This window comes from Homo sapiens, chromosome X (assembly GCF_000001405.40).
Source record: "Homo sapiens chromosome X, GRCh38.p14 Primary Assembly".
Lineage (NCBI taxonomy): Eukaryota > Metazoa > Chordata > Mammalia > Primates > Hominidae > Homo > Homo sapiens.
The window spans coordinates 119,565,418-119,588,336 of NC_000023.11; the positions used below are offsets into that span (position 1 = coordinate 119,565,418).

At 41.7% G+C, this 22,919-nt stretch overlaps 1 protein-coding gene and 1 long non-coding RNA gene across 4 annotated transcripts, besides 4 other annotated features; one reads left to right on the forward strand and one right to left on the reverse strand.

Moving 5' to 3' along the window:
- LOC124905208 (uncharacterized) lies at window positions 4,572-9,078 on the reverse strand. The gene is made up of 2 exons (XR_007068307.1): window positions 8,718-9,078; window positions 4,572-6,886 (listed from the first exon to the last, which is right to left on the reverse strand). It is a non-coding gene; the product is annotated as an uncharacterized LOC124905208 (long non-coding RNA).
- Window positions 8,918-9,418: an enhancer, noted in NCBI's record as "H3K27ac hESC enhancer chrX:118708298-118708798 (GRCh37/hg19 assembly coordinates)". NCBI's record gives its function as "activates a minimal SCP1, AML or CMV promoter by ChIP-STARR-seq in naive H9 embryonic stem cells {active_cell/tissue: H9 hESC(naive)}" and the evidence as "EXISTENCE:reporter gene assay evidence [ECO:0000049][PMID:30033119]".
- UBE2A (ubiquitin conjugating enzyme E2 A) lies at window positions 9,146-19,006 on the forward strand. 3 transcript variants are annotated; one of them, NM_003336.4, is made up of 6 exons: window positions 9,146-9,338; window positions 9,484-9,564; window positions 9,958-9,983; window positions 16,090-16,179; window positions 17,171-17,259; window positions 17,710-19,006. In NM_003336.4, exons 1-6 carry the CDS (start codon window positions 9,295-9,297, stop codon window positions 17,836-17,838), a joined length of 459 nt encoding a protein of 152 aa, NP_003327.2. In that variant the 5' UTR covers window positions 9,146-9,294; the 3' UTR covers window positions 17,839-19,006. The 3 variants fall into 3 exon arrangements, with proteins under 3 accessions (NP_003327.2, NP_001269090.1, NP_861427.1); NM_001282161.2 differs by having other exon boundaries at window positions 9,491-9,564; NM_181762.3 differs by lacking the exon at window positions 16,090-16,179.
- Window positions 9,377-9,546: a silencer, noted in NCBI's record as "silent region_20960". NCBI's record gives its function as "represses an Ori minimal core promoter by ATAC-STARR-seq in GM12878 lymphoblastoid cells {active_cell/tissue: GM12878}" and the evidence as "EXISTENCE:reporter gene assay evidence [ECO:0000049][PMID:35858748]".
- Window positions 9,377-9,919: a biological region, named in NCBI's record as "H3K27ac hESC enhancer GRCh37_chrX:118708799-118709299".
- Window positions 9,419-9,919: an enhancer, noted in NCBI's record as "H3K27ac hESC enhancer chrX:118708799-118709299 (GRCh37/hg19 assembly coordinates)". NCBI's record gives its function as "activates a minimal SCP1, AML or CMV promoter by ChIP-STARR-seq in naive H9 embryonic stem cells {active_cell/tissue: H9 hESC(naive)}" and the evidence as "EXISTENCE:reporter gene assay evidence [ECO:0000049][PMID:30033119]".

Genomic DNA, 22,919 nt, shown 5'->3' on the forward strand with positions numbered 1-22,919 from the left:
GAGTGCGCCTTGCACCTTTTCCTTGTGGCTACGCTGGTCACGTGTTAGCAGAAGTCTTATAAACTTCCGGGCTGTCCTATCAGGCTAAGATATACGGGGGTGCGCCTGGAGCCTCCCAGAACCTACTTTGTCTTGGCCAAGTTAGCTGGGACTCCTGTGATCTGGGAGTCACTTCTCAATGAAGATTGGTGGGCTTTCTCACAACACCCTTAATATTATATAAATTCTTTACATTTCTATAACGCATGCATTTATATGTATATATACACATATGTATATATAAGACCAGCTAAATAAAGGACTATGCATTATATAGTTTATATTATATATATATATATATATATATGATACTGATTTGGGTGTGTTTCTAAATATGATTGTGATTTTAATGACTATTCCAGATGAGTACATAATTTTTTAGGTATCTTATTTTTTAGTTGATATAATTCACGTAACATAAAATTCACCCTTTTAAAATGTGTAATTGGGTGTTTTTTAGTGTATTCACAAAGTTGTGTAACCATCACCACTAATTCCAGAACATTTCCATCATCTCAAAAAGAAATCTTATACCCATTAGTAGTCACCACGACCCGCACATCCCCCACCTTCCCAGCCCACGGCAACCACTAATCTACTTTTTATCTCTATGGATTTGCCTATTCTGGACATTTCATATAAATGGAATCCTACAATATGTGGCCATTTGTCTGGCTTCTTTCATTTACCATAATGTTTTCAAGGTTCATCCATGTTACAGTACTTCTTTCCTTTTTATGGTTGAATAATATTTCATCATATGGATATATCACATTTTGTTCATTCATCAATTGGCAGACAACGGGGATGTTTTCACTTTTTGGTTATTATATAGATAATGCTGCTATGAACATTCATGTACAAGAATACTTCCACCGCAAATTTGTGTGGGAATATAAATCTGGATTTTTAACTTTTGACAGCACGAGAAGTGATTAAAGCACCTTGACACTGTTTGTGATTCAAACAATGTGGGATGTCATTGAATGACTTTACTGCAGTACAGGTTTCAGGTATAAACACTGTTTTGCCTTGTAATTTTAGGTTAAATTCATTAAGGAACATTACTAAGTCTATGGCAAAAGCCATTTTTTAAAACTATTCATGTTCAATAATAGTGGTCAAGGGTGGGGTTCTTCTCATTTAGAAAATTTTCTAAAATTTTGAATTCAAATTCAAATTCAAATTTTCTAAAATCTTGAACTCCTGACCTCGTGATCCACCCACCTTGGTCTCCCAAAGTGCTGGGATTACAGGTGTGAGCCACCGCGCCCAGCTGAACTTCACTGTTGACACTACTGTCAAGAATAACACAAGACAGATTCAAGTTTGTTTGTTTGTTTGTTGCAAAGTACCTGCTGTTTAATAATACAATTAATAACTACAGGATTTTAAACAACTTACATTTTGACAAGTATTGTACATTTGTCTAAACCTTTTCTGCTCCATACATATTTGTAATACATCTTAGCAAATTATGCTTTAGACTGAATTGAATTAGTGTTTTCCTGACTTCTTTGAAATACTCTCATCTGCAGTTGTTCCACACAAGACCATACACCCAGGCCAATTTTTTTTTTTTTTTTTTTTTTTGAGACAGAGTCTGGCTCTGTCACCCAGGCTGGCTGGAGTGCAGTGGCACAATCTTGGCTCACTGCAACCTCCACCGCCCAGGTTCAATCAACTCTCCTGCCTCAGCCTCCTGAGTAACTGGGATTACAGGCACATGCCACCATGCCTGGCTAATTTTTTTTTTTTTTTTTTTTTTTGTATTTTTAGTAGAGGCAGGGTTTCACCATGTTGGTCAGGCTGATCTCAAACTCCTCACCTCAAGTGATCTGCCCACATCGGCCTCCCAAAGTGCTGAGATTACAGGCGTGAGCCACCACGCCCGGTCCAATTCTTCAGTCACTTTAAAGTCAACATTGACTCCTTGAGTAAAAAACAACAACTGAGTAATATTGGTAAACATTCATCAGGAGCCAAGGAAAACCACTTGAAATCATTTGCTTTGTTTTTGTTTTTGTTTTTGAGACAGGGTCTTGCTCTGTCACCCAGGCTGGAGTGCAGTGGCATGATCACAGCTCACTGCAGCCTCAAACTCCTGGGCTCAAGTGATCCTCCCACCTTAGCCTCCCTAGTAGCTGGGACCACACATGCACACCACCACATCGGCTATTTTTTTTTTAATTTTTTTGTAGAGACAAGGTCTTGCTGTGTTGCCCAGGGTAGTCTTGAACTGTTGGGCTCAAGCAATCCTTCTGCTGCAGGCTTTCAAAGTGCTGAGATTACAGGTGTGAGCCACCGTGCCTTGCCCTTTTTTGTTTGTTTGTTTTTGTTTTGATGTTGATTTCAATGTCCTCAACTCTTAGAGCCACTGTTCTTGCTGAAAGGTGAATAGTCTTCACAAGTTTTATTTTTCTTGAGCCTATTTCTTTGACTTCTGCAGCCAAACACAATTTAGCTCAGTATCAGTAAATGACTTTCCTTGGTTGGCTAACAAAGGAGCCACTCAGAAACTTACTTTGACTATAGGCTTATTTTTATTTTTTCCTTTTTGGGGGGGGCGGGGGATGGAGTCTCGCTCTCTCGCCCAGGCTGGAGGGCGGTGGCGTGATCTCGGCTCACTGCAACCTCCACCTCCCAGGTTCAAGCAATTCTCCTGCCTCAGCCCCCTGAGTAGCTGGGATTACAGGCATGCGCCACCACACTCAGCTACTTTTTGTATTTTTGGTAGAGATGGGGTTTTCTTTTTTTTTTTTTCTTTTTTTTTTTTTTTGAGACGGAGTCTCGCTCTGTCGCCCAGGCTGGAGTGCAGTGGTGCGATCTCGGCTCACTGCAAGCTCCGCCTCCCGGGTTCGCGCCATTCTCCTGCCTCAGCCTCCCGAGTAGCTGGGACTACAGGCGCCCGCCACCACGCCCGGCAAATTTTTTGTATTTTTAGTAGAGATGAAGTTTCACTGTGTTAGACAGGATGGTCTCGATCTCCTGACCTCGTGATCCGCCCACCTCGGCCTCCCAAAGTGCTGGGATTACAGGCGTGATCCCCCACGCCCGGCCGAGATGGGGTTTTCCCATGTTGGCCAAGCTGGCCTGGAACTCCTGACCTCATGATTCACACACCTCAGCCTCCCAAAGTGCTGGGATTACAGGCATGAGCCAATGCGCCTGGCCTATTTTTTAGTTTTATTATGAATTTTGCCATAATAAGATATTCTACTTAAAATTTTAAATTTTACTAGCCATTGCTCTCCTCTGAGTTGGGAATATTGTGATGAATGCTTAGTCTGGTAACATTGATGTACATTATAATATTATTAAATCTTTTGACTTTTTTCAACCGTTTAAGAATATAGAAAGCCATTCTTAGTTTGTAGGCCATAGACAAATAATGGCAGGTTAGATTTGGCTGCAGTTTGCTGAGCCCTGGTCTGATGGATGTGGCTGGTTTGATTGAATTCCCATGTACAACATGGTAGACATGTGTATTAGTTTCATATTACTGCTGTAACAAGTTACCACAAACTTGGTGGCTTAAGACAACACAAATGTATTATCTTAGAGTTTTGGACATCAGAAGTCCAAAACCAATATCAGTGGTCTAAAGTCAAGGTGTCAGCAGGTCTGATTGCTTCTGGGGGCTTCAGGCTTCCATCTTTTGCCTCTTCCAACTCCTACTGCAGACATACTTTGGCTCCTTCCCTGGTGGCCACATCACTCCAATCTCTGCTTCAGTCATCACATGGCCTCCTCTTTGACTCCTACTTCATCCCTCGTATAAGGACTGGTTTGATTGCCTCAGGCCCACCCCTTTAATCCAGGATAATATCCCCATGTCAAGATTCTTAATTTAATCACATCTGCAAAGTCCCTTTTGCCATGTAAGGTAACATATTCACCAGTTACAGAGATAAGGAAATGGAGATCTGGCTGGGGGGGCGGAGGGGGCAGGGTTGTGCATTATTCAGCATACCACACCATGCCTTTGTTTTCTTTGATTCAGTAATTTAGCAGGTAGTGAAATCCTTTTTTTTTTTTGAGACGGAGTCTGGCTCTGTCACCCAGGCTGGAGTGTAGTGGCGTGATCTCGGCTCACTGCAGCCTCTGCCTCCCAGGTTCCAGCGATTCTCCTGCCTCAGCCTTCCAGGTAGCTGGGATTACAGGCACGCACCACCACGCTTAGCTAATTTTTTTGTATTTTTAGTAGAGACGGGGTTTCGCCATGCTGGCCAGGCTGGTCTCAAACTCCTGACTTCGGGTGATCCACCCGCCTCGGCCTCCCAAAGTGCTCGGATTACAGGCGTGAGCCACTGTGCCTGGCCTGAAATCCCATTTTCAAGGCCTTAATTTCCCCATTTCCCTCAGCTTTGATATTCCCCTCCCTCCATCCCAACCTCTTTGTCTCTCTCTCTTCCCCCCACCACTTATGTCCTAGAGGCTGAAGATGAACAACATACTACAAGTTGTCAAGAGCAAGAGCACACACTTTGCTAACTGTTACTTCCTAAAAGTAATTCTCTTGAAATATTTTCTGAGATTATTTGAGTCAAGAAAGACCTTTCGATTTTATTTTCTGTTGGTGCTTTGTTGCTGTTTGTACTAAATTTTATCAACAGAGGTGAAAACCGTAGGAAAGTAAAAGTCCTTTGCCTTCACTGGATAACAGAAATACAAACTTACAGCCTGATAAGGCAAGAAATGATCTTTAATTTCGTCTCTTCTCCTAACCCAAAATACTTCAGGAAAATAAAAATCTATTTTTCATGTTGAAATCTTCATGAATGAAATTTCACAATTTTTTTGGTTTTTTTGAGACAAGTCTTGCATTTTTGCCCAGACTGATCTCAAACTCCTCACTTCAAGCGATCCTCCCACCTCCACCTCCCAAAATGCTGGGATTACAGGCATGAGCCACTGTGCCCAGCCCACTTTTCTTTAAATTGAGGAGACTTATCCTTTCTGGACCCCTGCTCTTGGGTAGGGGTGGTGCTTGGCTGTGAAGAGGGTATTTCTTCAAGATGTCAAGGTGAAAAAAGGGTAGAAAGAATGCTTGGCCAAACTGTGCTAAAGTTAGTATGTTCTAGCCTGATAATCATCATGCTGGAAAACAATCTTCTGTATTGCTGCTTGCTATGACAACCCTGCTTCTGCTGAGGAATGTGGGGGCACGGTGTTCCTGCAATGCAGTTTCATTCCTTAGTCAGAGAATGCTACTCCCATGCAGGTGCCAGGGGGCTTCCAACCATTTGGGTCATGCTCCTGAGTTTTTTTGTTTGTTTGTTTGTGTTTTGTTTTCTGAGACGGAGTTTCGCTCTTGTTGCCCAGGCTGGAGTGCAATGGTGCGATCTCAGCTCCCTGTAACCTCCGCCTCCCGGGTTCAAGCAATTCTCCTGCTTCAGCCTCTGGAATAGCTGGGATTATAGGCATGCACCACCATGCCCGGTTAATTTTGTATTTTTAGTAGAGACGGGGTTTCTCCATGTTGGTCAGGCTGGTCTCAAACTCCTGACCTCAGGTGATCCACTTGGCCTCCCCAAGTGCTGGGATTGCAGGCTTGAGCCACTGAGCCCAGCCCTTAGTTTTCTTGAAAGGAAGAAAGTCCAAGAAAGGAAGAGAAAGGGGGTTTCAAAAAACAGACAAGCTCACAACAAACTTACATACATCTATATCCTTCAATAAATTTCAGACATGTATATCCAGTAGCAGGAGCTTCTCAGTCCCTTTCATACTTTTTAGTACGGTACATGCCGCTTCTTAATAGGGTATTTTCTTTTTCTTTCTCTTTTTTTTTTGTCTGGTCGTGTCGCCCAGGCTGGAGTGTAGTGGCATGACCTCCGCTCACTGCAACCTCCGCCTCCTGGGTTCCAGCGATTCTTCTGTCTCAGCCTCCCGAGTAGCTCGAACTACAGGTCCTCACCACCACGCCCAGCTAATTTTTTTGTATTTTTAGTAGAGATGGGGTTACCTCATGTTGGCCAGGTTAGTCTTGAACTCCTGACCTCAGGTGATCTACCTGCCTCGGCCTCCCAAGTGCTGGGATTATAGGCGTGAGCCACCATGCCTGGCCTCAAAAGGATATTTTCTTTTTTTTCTTTTTTTTCTTTTTTTTTTTTGAGATGGAGTCTTGCTCTGTCGCCCAGGCTGGAGTGCAGTGGCGCGATCTCTGCTCACTGCAAGCTCCACCTCCCGGGCTCACGCCATTCTCCTGCCTCAGCCTCCAGAGTAGCTGGGACTACAGGCGCCCACCACCACGCCCGGAGAATTTTTTGTATTTTTAGTGGAGACGGGGTTTCACCATGTTAGCCAGGATGGTCTTGATCTCCTGACCTCGTGATCCACCTGCCTTGGCCTCCCAAAGTGCTGGGATTACAGGTGTGAGACACCGCGCCCGGCCAGGATATTTTCAATACATCTCTCTCATGCTCAAACACCTATAAAAGCTGCCTAAATTCCCCATTCTCGCATTTGAGGGCATTTAATCAACTTCTGTCACCCTCACTTTTCCTAGCTGAGGTCTCATCATTCCCCAGCCAAGAACCTGTCCATTAGCCAAGCTCATCTGCCCACGGGTTTAGCTCCATGCCCTTGTCTGTGCCATTGCCCCCATATAAACTGCTTAAGTTCTTCTCTCTCAAGCTCCGCTTTCATCTCTGTTGAAACAAAATTGAAATACACCCATTTCAGGAAGCTTGTCCTGATCCCACCAGAATGACGATTCCTCTGCTGTGCAATCTCTCAGCATCTGTGGTTTCACACACTTCTACAAGTTGAGGATCTCAAATCTGAAAATCTAAAATCCGAAATGCTCCAAAACCTGAAACTTTTATAATGCAAATAATTCCAAAATCTGAAAAAAAAAAAAAAAAAAAAAGGAAATCTGAAACCGTTCTGGTTCTGCTGTTGCTGTCGTAGGCAGACTTCTAAGATGCTACCCTCCCCTGAGATTCTTGGTCCTTGGTATATACACACACTTTCTCCCAGTTATTAAATGAAATACTAATCTAGGTTCTGCAGTGAAAAAATTTAGCAGACATAATAAAGGTCCCAACTTAGATGTTTTTAACATAGGGAAATTATCCATGGGGTGGGCCTGACATAATCTGATAAGCCTTTAAAGTAGACTGTGCTCTTCCTGAAAACAAGATTCAAAGAGTGAGAGGGATGTGGTGGGAGAGAAATTCTCTGTTGATGACTTTGAAGATGGAGTAGGCCACTTGGCAAGGAATGCAGGCGGCCTCTAGGAGCTGAGAGTAGTTCCCAGGTGGCAGCTAGTAAGGAAATAGGGACCAAAGTCCTACAACTGCAATGAACTGGGCTTGGCCAACAACTTGTAATTTGTTAAGCAGTGATGAAAACGAATATACTTGCTTTTGTAGATCTTGCTTTTGTTGATTTCATATGTGTGTATGTGTGTGTTAGTAGACTGCAAGTTCTTAGATGAGAGGAAAAAAAGTTTTTTTTTTTTAATTTTTGTACCCCCTTCCTACTACAGCCATAATGTGATGCTATTAGGGAGACTTGCCTTAACTGATATGTTGGAGTTAATGGGAGATAGAAATCCTTGACCATGAAAGTACCTGTTGTTAAGCAGCAGCTAGAATCACTACCATTGTCAAGTGCCTCCTGCTTCTCATGTTAGAAACAAATTCCTGCACATCTGATATCTTCTGGACATCTTCACGGGGATGTCTCACCAGTCCCATGAACTCAGTAAGTCCCACCCAAAATTTCCTTTTCCAAACTTGTCCCTCTCTCTCTATTCTGTAATTCTGTTAATGGCACCTTCAAAACCCCAGTTATCTCGGGGCTTAGAGTTTCAGCCACTGTTGACTCCTTCCTCTCTCTTGCCCCATATTCAGCCTGTTGCCAAGTCCTCCCCATTCATTCATATCCTCGCCTTTATTGTCACTGCCTGCTTCAGTATCTCGCACCTAGATACTGCAAGAGTCTCCTGCCTGCTCTCTTGAGACCAATCTCTGATAAGGACAGCTCTAATGATGTCACTTCCCTGCTCAATGGACTTCCAAGGAATCCATTAGCTTGGCATTCAAAACTCTTGATGACTTAACCCAAATCTACCTTTCTCCTATTTTCAATAATTTTTAAATGTGTATTATGCCTATCTTCTAAGTTATTTTGGGTTGACCTTTAAAAATTATCCTTTAAAACTGTTATTGCTTTTGCAGGTCCACGGACTGTGACTCTTCCTGCAACCTGCAGCTTTTCCACGTTCCTTTTACTTCAGACCCACTGTCCTTGCAACTCCCTGCAGTCGGATAGTCTCATATCTTGGACTCTTCTGAACATAAATAGCCGCTTGGCTTGTTGAACTACCAAGGGGAAATGTGGTTCCAGAGCCAAATTGTGAGTGCCCAAAACAAAACAGAACAAAACAAAACCCTACTCCGCCTGCCTTAAGCTCCCATTCCCTCCCACAGGACATACAACACTATTTCATTCTGCCCTGGGGTGATCATTGGCCTAAACGTTGAGCGCCCAATCCTGCATTCAATCCCACAGCCCCGCCCCGCCCCCCCGTCATAGTCAAGGCCGATTTATTCTTTTGATTTTCCGTGATTTTAACCAATCACTCCTCTCCCCACCCCTCCGACCCCAGTCTCCGGTGTCCGAAGGGGTTGTGCACCCTAGAGTTGCCGCTTTTTGAGAACCGGTTTTACCTCCGCCCACTCCTTCGTCCTCTAGTTTGGGACTTCCAAACTTCTCCCCTCTCCTCCCCGGGCATAGTGCGCGCTTTCATGAATGATCTGGTCACAAAACAAACAAAAACGAATAGAAAAAGAAAAAAAGAGAAAAAGAAAAAAAGCCGAAAACTTCCCAGGGTTTGCCTTAGAATTAGCAGGTGGGGATGGACCCCGTTCCACCACGAGCTCCTCCAGCGCCCGGGGCTCCGGCGTACCCTACGCCTCTGCGCTCGCGGCCCCGCCCCGGGCCTCCCGTGGGGCTTTAATGACATAAGCAACTTTCCTCGCGCACCCCCCGCCCCGTCTTGGTACGGCCTGTCCGGCGCTCGACGTTCCACCCCCCTCTCTCTGCTCTCAGGTTGGTTCAGCCCCCGTCTACACTGGGGTGGTGCTTAGCCGGCGCCAGACCGACCCTCGACTTCGGAGAGGCAGCGCGGTTCCTCTGGGTGCTTCCGCCTCCCCTTCTCCTGCTTCTCCAGCCTCTTCGGCCTCCTCGCCCGCCGCGGGAACCCGAGACCCCAGTGTATGCCCCACCCCTGACCCCGCTCGCGACATGTCCACCCCGGCTCGGCGGCGCCTCATGCGGGACTTCAAGAGGTAAACCGAGGGGACGGCCGAGGCCGGGGGTTGCGAGCTGGGGCACAGGGCGGGTCCCGAGGCGCGCCGGGCGGGGAGGGCTGGGGAGCGGCCGGGAGCGGGCGCCAGTGCCGGCCTAGGGGGACCCCTGTCTGTCTTCCCGAAGGTTGCAGGAGGATCCTCCAGCCGGAGTCAGCGGGGCTCCGTCCGAGAACAACATAATGGTGTGGAACGCGGTCATTTTCGGGTGAGTCTGCGTTCGTGGCGGTGGCGAGAAAACTGGGGACGCGAGCAGCTTCGGTCTGCGCTCCGGGGCGGGCCCCCCGCGGAGGCCGAGCGGGTAGGGGAAAATGTTTGGGTCTGGCTGGGCCTAGGCGCCTCCCCGGAGCCTGTGCCTCGATTAGCTCAGTTCCCGCTGCCAGGGGGAACCGCTTGGGGTTCTAGGGGGGCGGGGCGGGGAGTGGTGGCGGTTAGGCGCGGCGGCTTGCCCTGTGTCTCTGAGCCCGGGACATCCATTTGTAGTGGCTTCCGACCCCGGTAGCGGTGCTGGAGATGGCAGAGCTCGGGATAGCCATCTCAGATGAAGCAGGGAGAAGGGGGCCCCTTAAGTGGGAACTGACCATTTTTCTCTGTGTTGCAGGCCTGAAGGGACCCCGTTTGAGGATGGTAAGAGAGAGTTTCTTTACCCACTTTTCAGGAGCCTGGTCATCTGGGGAAAGGGTTCCCAGTCATCCTGGAAGTGTCTCCTGCTTAGGAACCTGCCTCTGCCTAGCCTCTGTCTGCTAAAGGCTTGAGTGGAATGCAGTGTGTGGCTGGTGGTTCTGGATATTGTATGCTTGACTAGAACTGCACCTTTCTTCTTGCTTTCTTAAAAAAAAAATCTGTGTAAGGCAGTCACTTTTTAAAAGGAGCAATCATAGCACTGGTATTAAGGATTTTTGAGGCTTGGGCTGTAATTCTGCTAAATTCAGCCCTCCATCACTGAATTAGTATAAACCCAACCAGTTGCTGATAGGCAGCAGAGACCCCAGAGACCATCTGGTTCAGAATTCTACCCCAAGGGCAGGAGTTGTGTTCAGCAGGTGCTTGGTAGATGTGTGTTGGATGTTGAGTGGATGCGAGAATCCCTTGCGTACAACTGTCTGGTTTCTACAATCTGACATTGAATGCCTGTCAGCCTCACTGCTCTAAGATGGTCTTAAATGCCTCATTTGAGTACAGTATTCTTTCTTATTTTTAAGTGAATTTGCAGTGTGTGCTTTCATCAAGACGTTATGATGAGTAATTTCAAAGCAGCTTCACAATTGAAGTTAGCCTTAATGTACCCTTTTGATCAGTGTCCTGCCTACCTGAAAGTACTACATGTACCAGTAGGTACATAATTTTTAATTGATTTAGGTTTAACTTTTAAAAACACGTGTAAATTGCTTTTTAAAAACTTTCTGATTTTAGATAATTATAGATTCATATGCAGTTGCAAGAAATAATAGAGACACCCTTTATACCCTTAACCCAGTCCTCTACCCAAACCCTCCCATTTGGTAACATCTTGAATGACTAGACCCTATCACAACCGGAAAAATGACACTGATAGTTCTACACTCAGTTGTGTGTGTGTGTGGTTGTTTTTTGAAAGTTTAATACATTTAAAGGATGATTAAAGTATTTGAACTCATGAAATTCTTTAATATTTGAGGTTTTAAAAAAAAGGAAAAGGATCTTTCTGTTATTTTTTTCCTCAATGATTTCCTTCGGTCACATAGCATTTATACACACACACACACACACACACACTTCAGTTTGAAGGTGGGAACAAAAACATTTCTGCAAACTACTTAATACATACTTATGTTGCTGAGCCGGATTGCTTTTTGATGCTACCAGTCCACAAAATGTTGTGAGGTAAGTCAATTTCAACTAAGTCTGTAATTCATCTCAAGTACTTAGATTTCCCCAGGAAACTGTGGACAGTCACCTGAATATTTTTAGCTTCCTCTTTACCTTTACCCCCTGGGTAAATATCATTACTCTTCAGGGCTGCAAAGAAAAGAAATGACAGCAGGAAACAGTGATTGTAAGGGCATACTACTTTGGCGCAGTTAATCATTTGAACTGATTTGTAGCAAAAAACTATAGCTAGACTTAATTTTCTTCTACCAGATTGGCACTAGTTTTTTTGTTTGTTTGTTTTTTGTTTTTGTTTTTTTGAGACGGAGTTGCGCCCTGTCACCCAGGCTGGAGTGCGATGGTGTGATCTCGGCTCACTGCAACCTCCGCCTCCCAGGTTCAAGCGATTCTCCTGCCTCAGCCTCCTGAGTAGCTGGGATTACAGGTGTGCGACACCGCGCCCGGCTAATTTTTTGTATCTTTAGTAGAGACGGGGTTTCACCATGTTGGCCAGGCTGGTCTCAAACTCCTGACCTTGGGATCCACCCGCCTTGGCCTCCCAAAGTGCTGGGACTACAGGCTTGAGCCACCGCACCCGGCGAGCACTAGTTCTTTATACCTGAGCTTTAAATGTACAGATTAACTGTGTTTGCTTTAGCTCTAGTAGGCCTTGTTTTCATTGGCTTCTTTTTTCCTCGTTTTACTCTGTTTTATGCTGGGCACAGCTTTATTAATAGTACATCACTTTGCTGGGGATTGGCTACCTAAATATTTCAAGGGTGCTTCTCTTAAGTGGTATGAATTGAAAAGGTACTTACAGAGTCCATTATCTACCAGGACTGTCACCTTTGACATTACTGGTTCTATTTTTGATGATGTGTATCTCCATCCTAGCATTACTGAAAGGAATTACTCAGGCTGATTTGTTCTGTTGAACAGTCTGCTACCGATGGATGCTTCCTCAGGTGTCTGGAACACTGTGGCCTGTGGTTCCCCCACAAAAAAAATTTTAGCTTTTTTTTTTTTTTTTTTTTTTGAGATGGAGTTTTGCTCTTGTCACCCAGGCTGGAGTGCAGTGGCACGAGCTCAGCTCACTGCAGCCTCTGCCTCCCAGGTTCAAGCAATTCTTCTGCCTCAGCCTCCCAAGTAGCTGGGATTGCAGGCACCTACCACCATGCCCAGCTAATTTTTGTATTTTTTAGTAAAGAGGGGGTTTCACTATGTTGGGCAGGCTGGTCTCGAACTCCTGACCTGAGGTGATCCGCCCACCTCGGCCTCCCAAAGTGCTATGATTACAGGCATGAGCAGCCGTGCCCAGCCTTAACCATTTTTTGAATACCCTTTATTTATAGTTGGGGAATTTACAGTTAGAGAAAAGACTGATTAGGGATAAGTGGCATAGTTGATTTTGCTGTTTCCAATGTATTATGTTATTAATTAAGAACCCCAAAACTACTTTTGCTTCTTTGTTGTAAACCGTTCGTTATGGAAGTTTCTGGAACAACCAGGTCCTAGTTAGAGTGATGAAATCTTAAGACAAGCAACACTTAAGGGTATTTTGGTTTAACTTCACACACTCGAAGTAAGAGGAATATATTCTCAAGAGCTTACACTACCAAAACATTGGGGAGAAATGCTTCCTCATCAGAATATCTTGGTATACATGCTAAATACAAAGGTTATGGAATATAATCTTCATCACATAATCTAAAAATTGTTAATAGACATGGTAAGGTACTGGTATTTGCTTTTCATAATAGATGTGTTCTTTAGAATTGGGGTATAAATCGTTTTTATTTTTTTTTAATTTTTGGAAATGTTTCTGAGTCATAAAATCTTTTTCAAAATGAATCTCTAAAGTCCACTAAGAGTGTTTTAAATATAAATAAATCCTATGATGAAGAGTTTTGGATATTACTTGAAAAATCGATTTTCAGTCATCAAAAATAATTTTGAAGTTATATGTATTTTGCTTTCTTCTCAGGGGTCACAAACTGGTGGCCAAATGGCAGAAAACACCTGCAGGTGTGTTTTCTTTGGCCAACACAGTATTTTCCAAAACTTGACTTTGTGAGTGTCTTTAGGCAGAACATATACCCCCTCTAGTTCAACCATATCACTCCTTATTGCCATACACCAGTCACTTAACACGTTTATGTAATTTTGGTGGTCTCCCTGTATAGATGGATTAATTGATACTTTCCTTACGATGTCTTAGCCTCCTCGGGAAGATGAACAAAATTAGTATACATTATGTACAACAATGGTGAGGCTTAAATTTTCAGTTATTTTAAAGCCTAGCCTTCTAAATATTCAGAGGGTAAGCTGTAGTCTCAAGACTGCATAATACTAATTCTGGGATTTTAAATTCCCTTAACATTTGTTTTAGAGCTTAGAAATTACATTGAAGGTTATACTAAACAGGTTCTGATTAGTGTGACTAAAAGTGTGAAGTTTTTACCCTCTTTTTAATGTGTACCTTGAATAAGATTTGGGTTGTCTTAATTTATATTCAAGTAGACATAAATAGGTTGCTTCACTTCTCAAGATATTAAGTGAACTGTTTTAAAAGACTTGCGATTAACTTCTTTGGTAGCTAGGTAATCACTTAGTTGAACTTCTGGGCAAGTGTATGCAGAAAGCTCAAGTCAAGGAACTTGTGAGCCACCAATATAGGTACTCAACTTGCTTTGAACTGTGAGTGTTTGATGTAGACCTAAAAGTACTGTTTAATATCTGAATGCCTTAATTGTATATTTCTTACTGATAGTTCTGATTTTTGGGTTTTGCCTCCTTCAGCTGAGTCTAGAGATGTGAAACTTTAGAATTATTATAGCAAAAATAGTTGCTCATGGTTTTGGAGCACTTAACTTTGTGGAACTATGCATATTCCTCTCATTTAAACCTCACAACAATGCTATATGGTGGGTACTATGATTAATCTCATTTTACAAATGAGGAACTTAAGGTTTAGTCAAGGAGAACACCTTCCCCAAAGTCTCACAGCTAGTAAGTACCAAAGCAAGGACTTGGGCCCAGACCTGTCTGACTGCAGAGCTCATGCTCTTAGCAGTGTGTTTTACTGTTTTTGCTTATGGCTTCCCTATGTCTTGCTTTACTACCTTTAGATACCATATTTAGTGATGGTTTTGAAGTAGCTGGGATCTCCATGTGCTATTACATCTGCCCAGTTTTAGAGCAGTGTCTCTTACCCATAATTTAGTCAGATTGCAACATTGATCCAAATGTGTTTACACTTGAGATCATAATACATAAGGAAACTCAAAGTTTTGAACTCTAACACATTCCCACTTTTTCTTGCATATTATAGTGTCAATAAATACTGAAAAGGAAGAACTGTGCTTTCTTCCTCAGAAAGAGGAAGATTTATGACCAGGTGGTGATAAAGGTGAAGTATGTTCTGATGGACATACTTCCATACTTCTAATGGGCATATGTTTGTCCATTCCATAAGATTTTACTTTCTTAGTTATAATACATAGTATCTTCAGGTCTGGCTTTGAAAAGAAAATAGGGAGTAACAATAATTTGAGGAATATAATGTCTCTGTATGTTGCATTTTATATTATTTTGAAGCTTTGAGACACTTGTTCATAGTAAGGGCAGCTTTGTTAGCAAATTGTTTCCAATGAGCTTGCTAAAAACAAACTTTTTGATACTGTTTTGTCACAGATCTAGTCCTAGAATGATTATAGTCTTCTCTCTTTCTTAAGCAGTGATAAACCTTTTAATGAGAACAAAAAGGAAATAAATTGCTAACTCTGAAGGAACCAGTAAGAAATACACTGAAGTATGGTCTGTTGTTTTAGAATAATTTGTTAAATGGACCAGAGTAATATAGTGGAACATGCATCACCTTATACCATATAGTAACTGATTCTTCTAAGTTTACTTGAACAGATTTCAGTCAGGAAAAAACATTGCTCAATTGTGTTCTTCAATTTATTCAACAAACAATTGAAAATAATATTTTAAAGGACATAATCTCTTCATATCACATCTTAACAATTCTTGAATGAGATCCAGTTTGTCCATGCCTTGTAAGTAAGTTTATAACCTACTATGCTTTAGGGCCTCCTGCTACCTTAGGTTGACATATATTTAAGAAAAATAATTTCATTTCAATAGTAGCATAAACATTAGAAAAATAAATTTGCTGGAAACATGAATGCAATCTAAACCAAATGTGATTTTAAAATTATTTCTGCCATTAATTCCCTCCATATGTGTGAATAATTGAGTTGATTTTATAGTGAAGTACCTTATGAGCCATACTTAAGGGTTTCTGAGAGGGACTATGAAGTTTTTCCTGGCTTAAATTCAATTAAGTTTTCATTATAGGGTCACTATGACATGAAAAGGAACCAGTATGAACACTTTTATACTTATTCCCTTCTATTTTAAAAATAACTTGATTATGGATTTGTATTCTGGCATTGGTTTTTGAACCATTGTGCTTTCATTCTTTCTAGTCTGTCTAAAAATCACTGGAGCGTTTAAGATGGCAGCTGACTAACATAGGCCTTTGAGGTCTTTTGGTCTTCTAAAGGAAGAAGGCCAAATTTTGGGCCCAGTTTCTTAAGGATGTTTTCAAAATGTACAGTGGCTAAAATCTTGTAAGCAGTAATTTTGTGTTTATGATGGCTGTCTCCAAGTTTGGGGGAAAATAATGGCAAAACAAAAAATCACATTTGAGTAGTTCTTAGAGCAATTCCTAGAGATGTATTTCTTACCTGGCCTTTCCTCTCTACCCTGTATCTTTGCATTATTTAATACTTGGAAAAACCCACATAGCATTAAAAACAAAGTACTACTGAACAAAGTGATAAATACATTTTCTTAAATCTTTCTTTTCTAACCACAGGAACATTTAAACTTACAATAGAATTCACTGAAGAATATCCAAATAAACCACCTACAGTTAGATTTGTCTCTAAGATGTTCCATCCAAATGGCAAGTATCACTTTTAGTACAGTGTTTTAAACTACTATAGTGTTTATTATGGAGTATTCCACATTTCCTGTGTATTTTGTGGTGCCTGAGTATTTGTTTAGGCAGCTTGCTGCTTCTTGAAAGCTGAACTTGTTCTTGGTTGTCTGTGGCTGTCTTGTCCTAGAACTGAAGCAGTGGAGGTATTTTCCCTTTGCTTGGAGTCTGGGAGCCTCCTGATTTTGATGACCTTTGTCATTTACTTATTAAACAAAATGAAGGATGCTCTTGAGGTTTCCTTTTAATGCTAGGCCAGATTGGGATAGTCTTGTGTTGTAATTATTTTCACTAGCGTTTAGAAAAGTAGTTTTCATTGGACGCATATCAGAATTACTGTGGAACATTTTAAAAACACAGATGCCTTCGCCCCACTCCAAACCTAATGAATAGGATTCTGTTGTTGAAGGCCAGGCATACGGTATTGTCAGAAAAGCACCACAGGTGATTCTAACTTAACCACTTTGCACTTTTTAAAATAGTAGTAAGCCTAGAACAGCTTGCCTTTTATTTAGGTTAATGAAGTATTTTTCAGGGTATCAGATATGTTTATCTTTATGCCAAAATGAAATCTTGTGAACTCTGAGTGATCTTTTGTTATTTCAGATAGGGGATACAGCCTACAAATTTGGTGGAATGAATTTCCCACATGTCTGTGGATAGCTAGGGACCCTGTTCAAAAATGTTTCTGATTTCCTGGATAATAGGGCAGCCTTTTCCAAAGGATGAACACTAAATATCTTCCAGTTTTATACTGATCACATCTGACATTCTCTGATCATCCTGATTATTTCACTAGTGGTGGTTATGACTTATCTTTTTAGGCAGTTAACTGGGAAGCAACATAGGAATCTTTAAACTTCAAAAGCAAAGTATTCTTGACTATTTTTGTTTTGTCTATAATGTTAAAACCTTAGTGGTCTTGTTACGTTTAATGTACCTACTTCTTTGTTCTTAGTCTATGCAGATGGTAGTATATGTCTGGACATACTTCAGAACCGTTGGAGTCCAACCTATGATGTGTCTTCCATTCTAACATCCATACAGGTGAATTTTTCCTTAATGTGACGAACTATAACTTTTAATATGTTTATATTAGCAATTGAATTGTTTTTGAAAGTCATAATGTAATAGATCTTTTTATTTTTGGTCAAAGCTTGTTTGTTTTATAGATGAAAAGTAGACCATTAAGACCCAAGTCAGCTGGGTACAGTCGCTCACACCTGTAACCTCAGCACTTTGGCAGGCCAAGGTGGGAGGATTGCTTGAGTTCAGGAGTTTGAGACCAGCCTGGGCAACATAGTGAGACTCTTCTCCCTTAAAAAAAAAAAAAGCCGCATATATTTTCCTAGCTACTAGCAGATTCACATAACTCTGGGTTTGTATGCTAAAGACAAGAAATGTAGCTGTACTTAGGACAATTCAATTGAGTGTCACTACCTTATAAAATAGTTGTTTTGCATTAAGGAACTGACATTTTAAAAATTGTCTCTTTAGTCTCTGTTGGATGAACCCAATCCCAATAGTCCAGCAAACAGCCAGGCTGCTCAGCTGTACCAGGAGAACAAACGGGAATATGAAAAGCGTGTTTCTGCAATAGTAGAACAAAGCTGGCGTGATTGTTGACCCCGGGTACAGTTTAAAGAAGCTGGCCATAAGAAAAATATATATTGATGTGTTTGTCACCTCCCTACTCCTGTCATTACATTTACTTTATTAAAAGCAAAATAACTGTTGTGCTGTTTCCATCTTCCTTGCCAAGTTTTCCTACCCCTTCTACCCTCTCCTTAAACATCAGAAAACACCCTCTATGAAATCAAATGTACTGTACCTGGGTTACTTGCAAAAATTACTAATGCTTCAGTTTTTCTGTTGTATTTCATTTCCAGTTTTCAGGCAGTTATTTTTATTATTGTACTTTAAGCTTTTAAGATGAATTGTTATACAAGAGGTGCTTATGCTTAGCTTGATGACCAGGATGTTATTTTTAACAAAATGATTGCTGAAGTGTTTCATCCTGGCTGGTCCTTCACTTGTGTTGGATTTAGAAGTGAATGTGTTTGGAATATGGCCTACAGAGAATAGAAACAAATCCATGTAAACAATTTTGAAGGAGGCATGGGAGCTAAAAATCCTGTGATACTAAGATCTCAGTCATATGAATTACAACGTAGTATTTACTGGCAAGAAGGAGAAAGTTGAAGGACTCAGCTAAAGGAGTACAGCAATTGTAGTAACTGACACATCCTCTCTTTGCAAGCTGCTGACTGGGCACACTCATGCCAAGTTTCAGAATTATTGGTCTTCTGGGTTTTTGCTTTTTAAAAGAGGTGTGGGAGCAGAGGAATGGAAACAATCGTGAGTTTTTGAGCTAGGGAAAGTTGGAGCTCCTTTAATCTTTTTAAAGGATCAGTGCTGCCCTAAGTGAATAAACTCAATTGTCCATCTTTATTTTAGAGTTTTAATGAATTCAAGGAAGGGAGCATAGCATATCTGTGGCAAACTATTTTCCACTCAAATCCTGAGTTATTGCTGCATGCTTTAATTTCTTCCCTTTCAGCATCTGAGAACCTTAAAGCCAATGTCTGCGATCTTTTTTTGGATATTTATACTTTTAGATATATAGTACCTTTAAGTAGCAGTATGGGACAAGGCTTGTAAATGTTTTGTCTAATGTTCTATTGTCACCTTTTATGCATTTATCACTTCCAAATCTAACTTTGCACAAGTAACCCATGTAAAAAAAAATGTACATTTTTCAAAAGTTGTAAATAAAAATAACCTTAAAATTTCATAGTCAAGGTATCTTTTTTTTTTTTTTTTTAGCTCAGTATAAACTTTTTGTATTGGTTTCTTATTGGGATCTCATATGTACTCATTTCCCCCCTCAAACATTAAGGTAAAAGCAAAAATACTCATTCTGGGAGGGGAAAAGACAAGACAGATACTTCTGGAGAGAACTTTTTTTTTCTTTCCAGTCATAAGTGGTAATGCTTTTTAAATATATTAACAGAATATGTTGCCGGGCACAGTGGTTCACGCCTGTAATCCCAGCACTTTGGGAGGCCAGGGCGGGCAGATCACGAGGTCAGAAGATCAACCATCCTGGCTAACACAGTGAAACCCTGTCTCTGCTAAAAATACAAAAAGAAATTAGCCAGGCGTGGTGGCATGCCCCTGTAGTCCCAGCTGCTTGGGAGGCTGAGGTAGGAGAATCGCTTGAACCAAGGAGGCGGAGGTTGCAGTGAGCCAAGATCGCGCTACTGCACTCCAGCCTGGTGACAGAGTGAGACTTCTTCCTCTCAAAAAAAAAAAAAAAATTTAACAGAATGTAAAATTATTAAATAAAGTTACCTCAGTATACATTATAATCAATCAAGGGAATGAGGTTATGGGGGGCGTGCGGGGGGCAGGGATAAACCAACCTAGGTATTTATCAGCACCCTCAGAGACCAAGATCTAACTTGTTGATCCTGACATACCACCTCTTTAAAAGCCCTAGCTCAAAAACAAACAGTACCAAACTTTTTTTTTTTTTTTTTTTTTTTTTTTGAGACGGAGTCTAGCTCTGTCGCCCAGACTGGAGTGCAGTGGTGCAATTTTGGCTCACTGCCACCTCTGCCTCCTGGGTTCAAACGATTCTCCTGCCTCAGCCTCCTGGGTAGCTGGGATTACAGGCGCTCGCCACCATGCCCAGCTAATTTTTGTATTTTTAGTAGAGATGGGGTTTCACTGTGTTGGCTAGGCTGGTCTTAAACTCCTCCTGACCTCATGATCCACCTGCCTCGGCCTCCCAAAGTGCTGGGATTACAAGCCTGAGCCACCGTGCCCGGCCTAGATGGTATTTTAAATCCTATGCAAAGTTTGGGAGTACAGATATCCTCAATCACTTTGATTAAACAAAACTACTTTCTTCTGAGGAGCAACCCATCTCATTTGAAAGAGGCAAGGACAATGACTTTGTAAAAACTACCACCTCTTGGTACTTGTTTGGTTGGGTGGATGGGGCTAAATGAAGTTAAGTCCTTATGACACATGTATCTCACTCATCTTTTAAGACATGGTACTTGAAGCCTCAGTATGGAGTACAATCTGTACTAATTACCACATTACTTGGATTGTTTCACCTAGGAGCAATGTCCTTCAATTTGCTTAATAGTTTCCCTCAAGTCCATTTCTGCTTCAAAGTAGAACCACATTAAATTTTTCTATTTGGTGGATTAGTTTTACATTAACTTTTTCATCCTGCTATGTGGCTGAGTGCTTTAAATTGACACTGTTAATCATACCTGAAACAATGTAAGGCGAGACTCAGAATGGTCAGGTTTAATAACTTTTTTCTTCTGTACACCTGAGAAACACTATACCCAATCTCTTTCACAGGATAATCCATTTAAAACCTTACAACAGAGCCAACAAGCTGACCTCCCAAAACAACATATGCATGGTCAAAGGCACCACAAACCATTCATTTGAACATTTCATGCTAATTGCCTCTTTCTCCCTTTAAAATTTTTAACACCACAGGCTACATGTATTGATAACAAAGTTAATGAAAACAAATTTGCAATGTCCCTTTTTCAAATGGCAGTCAGGTTTGAACTTTTCAATTCTGCACGTGCTGATGTGGGGAAGGAGGTATGATGAAGAACCAAAGCTGCAATTAGAATCCTTTATTTAGGACCCATCTCCAGCTTCAGGGGTTACTCATAGCAAAGAGAATGCATTGTATACTACTAAAAAAGAATCCCAACAAAGTGCATGATATTGCCATTCATTTTGCAATCAAAGGGGAGGAAAAAAATCCAAAAAGTAGATCTGTGATACTAAAAGCTAGATATAAAATGGAAAGAACAGTTAGTTCCTCAGTATAAAAAACACTTAATCCAAATAAAATTTGAAATTGCTCATGTACCTGTACAGATTGTATAGGAAGGTTACTGGGTTAAGAATGACTACATTTCAAAGAAAGGGAAAATACAGTAACCAACTGAAAGGGGACAAAATGGAACAAAATGGAACAACAGCAAGCTTGTCAGCAGCTCATTCATGCCAACGCCATTCTCAACATTATTTTATCCTCAAGCAAGTTAAGTGATTTTGCTCTAATTCTGTATCAATATCACAGATCCTAAGAAGTTAGGCAATCTGGCCCCTCAAATCCAGTAACCAAATTTGTATCTACTTGGTGCAATTATTTGGGAGCCTTCCTAACTGTAACTACCTTAATATTCTGTTCTGTTGGACTCACCTAGACAAACCAGATTATATTTAACAATCCCCTACCTTTCCCTGCCTCAAAATCATTTGGGGGAAGAAAGAAATGTAAAGAGAGTAATCAGTGAAGTTTTCATATCCCTTAATCCCAAAGCCACTCTTACTCAGAGAATTGAAAACAGGTTTTTTTCTAACTCACAAATTCAACCATAGCTTCTGAAGGTTGGCATGAACCTTGTAAATTAAAAACAAAACAAAATTGTAGCCCGGGTGTAGTGGCTCATGCCTGTAATCCCAGCACTTTGGGAGGCTGAGAAGGGTGGACTGCGTAACTCCAGGAGCTTGAGACCAGAATCCCATCTCTACTAAAAATACAAAAAATTAGCCAGGCCAGGCGGTGCGCACCTGAAGTCCCAGCTACTCGGAAGGTGGAGGTTGCAGTGAGCCAAGACTGCGCCACTGCACTCCAGACTGGGTAACCGGAGTGGGACCCTGTCTCAAAAAACAAATTGTAATCCTACAAAATCTATAAACATTTTGCTTAGTTTTTTTTGCCAATGTTAATATGAAGTGGCAAAATAAAATGTACACCTCATTTCTCTTCCTACCGACATTAAGAAAGGCTATGCACTGTAGGAAGACGGTTAATGGAAAACAATTATCACACTGTTTAGTTACCGTAGATGAGTACCAGTTACAGAAATCCAGGTGTAAAGGCTAATCCCTTTATATTTTTTAAGCATTAATTTAACTACAGTGGGCAGCTGCTTAATGTAAAATATAAAAAACAGGGCCAGGCACGGTGGCTCAAGCCTGTAATCCCAGCACTTTGGGAGGCCAAGGTAGGGAGATCACCTGAGGTCAGAACTTCAAGACCAGCCTGGCCAACATGGTGAAATCCCGTCTCTACTAAAATACAAAAATCAGCCGGGCGTGGTGGCGGGTGCCTGTAATCCCAGCTACTTGGGAGGATGACACAGGAGAATCGTTTGAACCCAGGAGGTGAAGGTTGCAGTGAGTCGAGACTGCACCATTGCACTCCAGCCTGGGCAAGAAGAGCGAAACTGCATCTCAAAAACAAACAAACAAAAAACGGGAAAGGAAATTACGATTTCTTGTTGGCCAATTACATGTCAAGCACGGTGCTAAATGTTGTCAAGCACTGTAAACCACCTAATTGTCCTGAACATCATTTCATTAGAGGTGTCTAGTGAGCAATGGTAAATTCACCTGTGCTGTTATGAGGTTATACTTGATTTATCTGAGATACAAAAATAAAATCACATAAAAGGGGGCAGCCAAAGATTTGGTTGAAGCCAGCATGTTGGTCCATAGGAAAAAAGTGATAGTTGACTGATTCCTATCTGTTAAATCCGGACATTCATCCACATGTGCTCTGGGTGCTGAACTATTCTGTGCAAACACCACTTCCCTTCTCCAAAGACCCAGTGTTGCTACAAGGCTGCTGCCCGGAAATGAGCACGCCACCA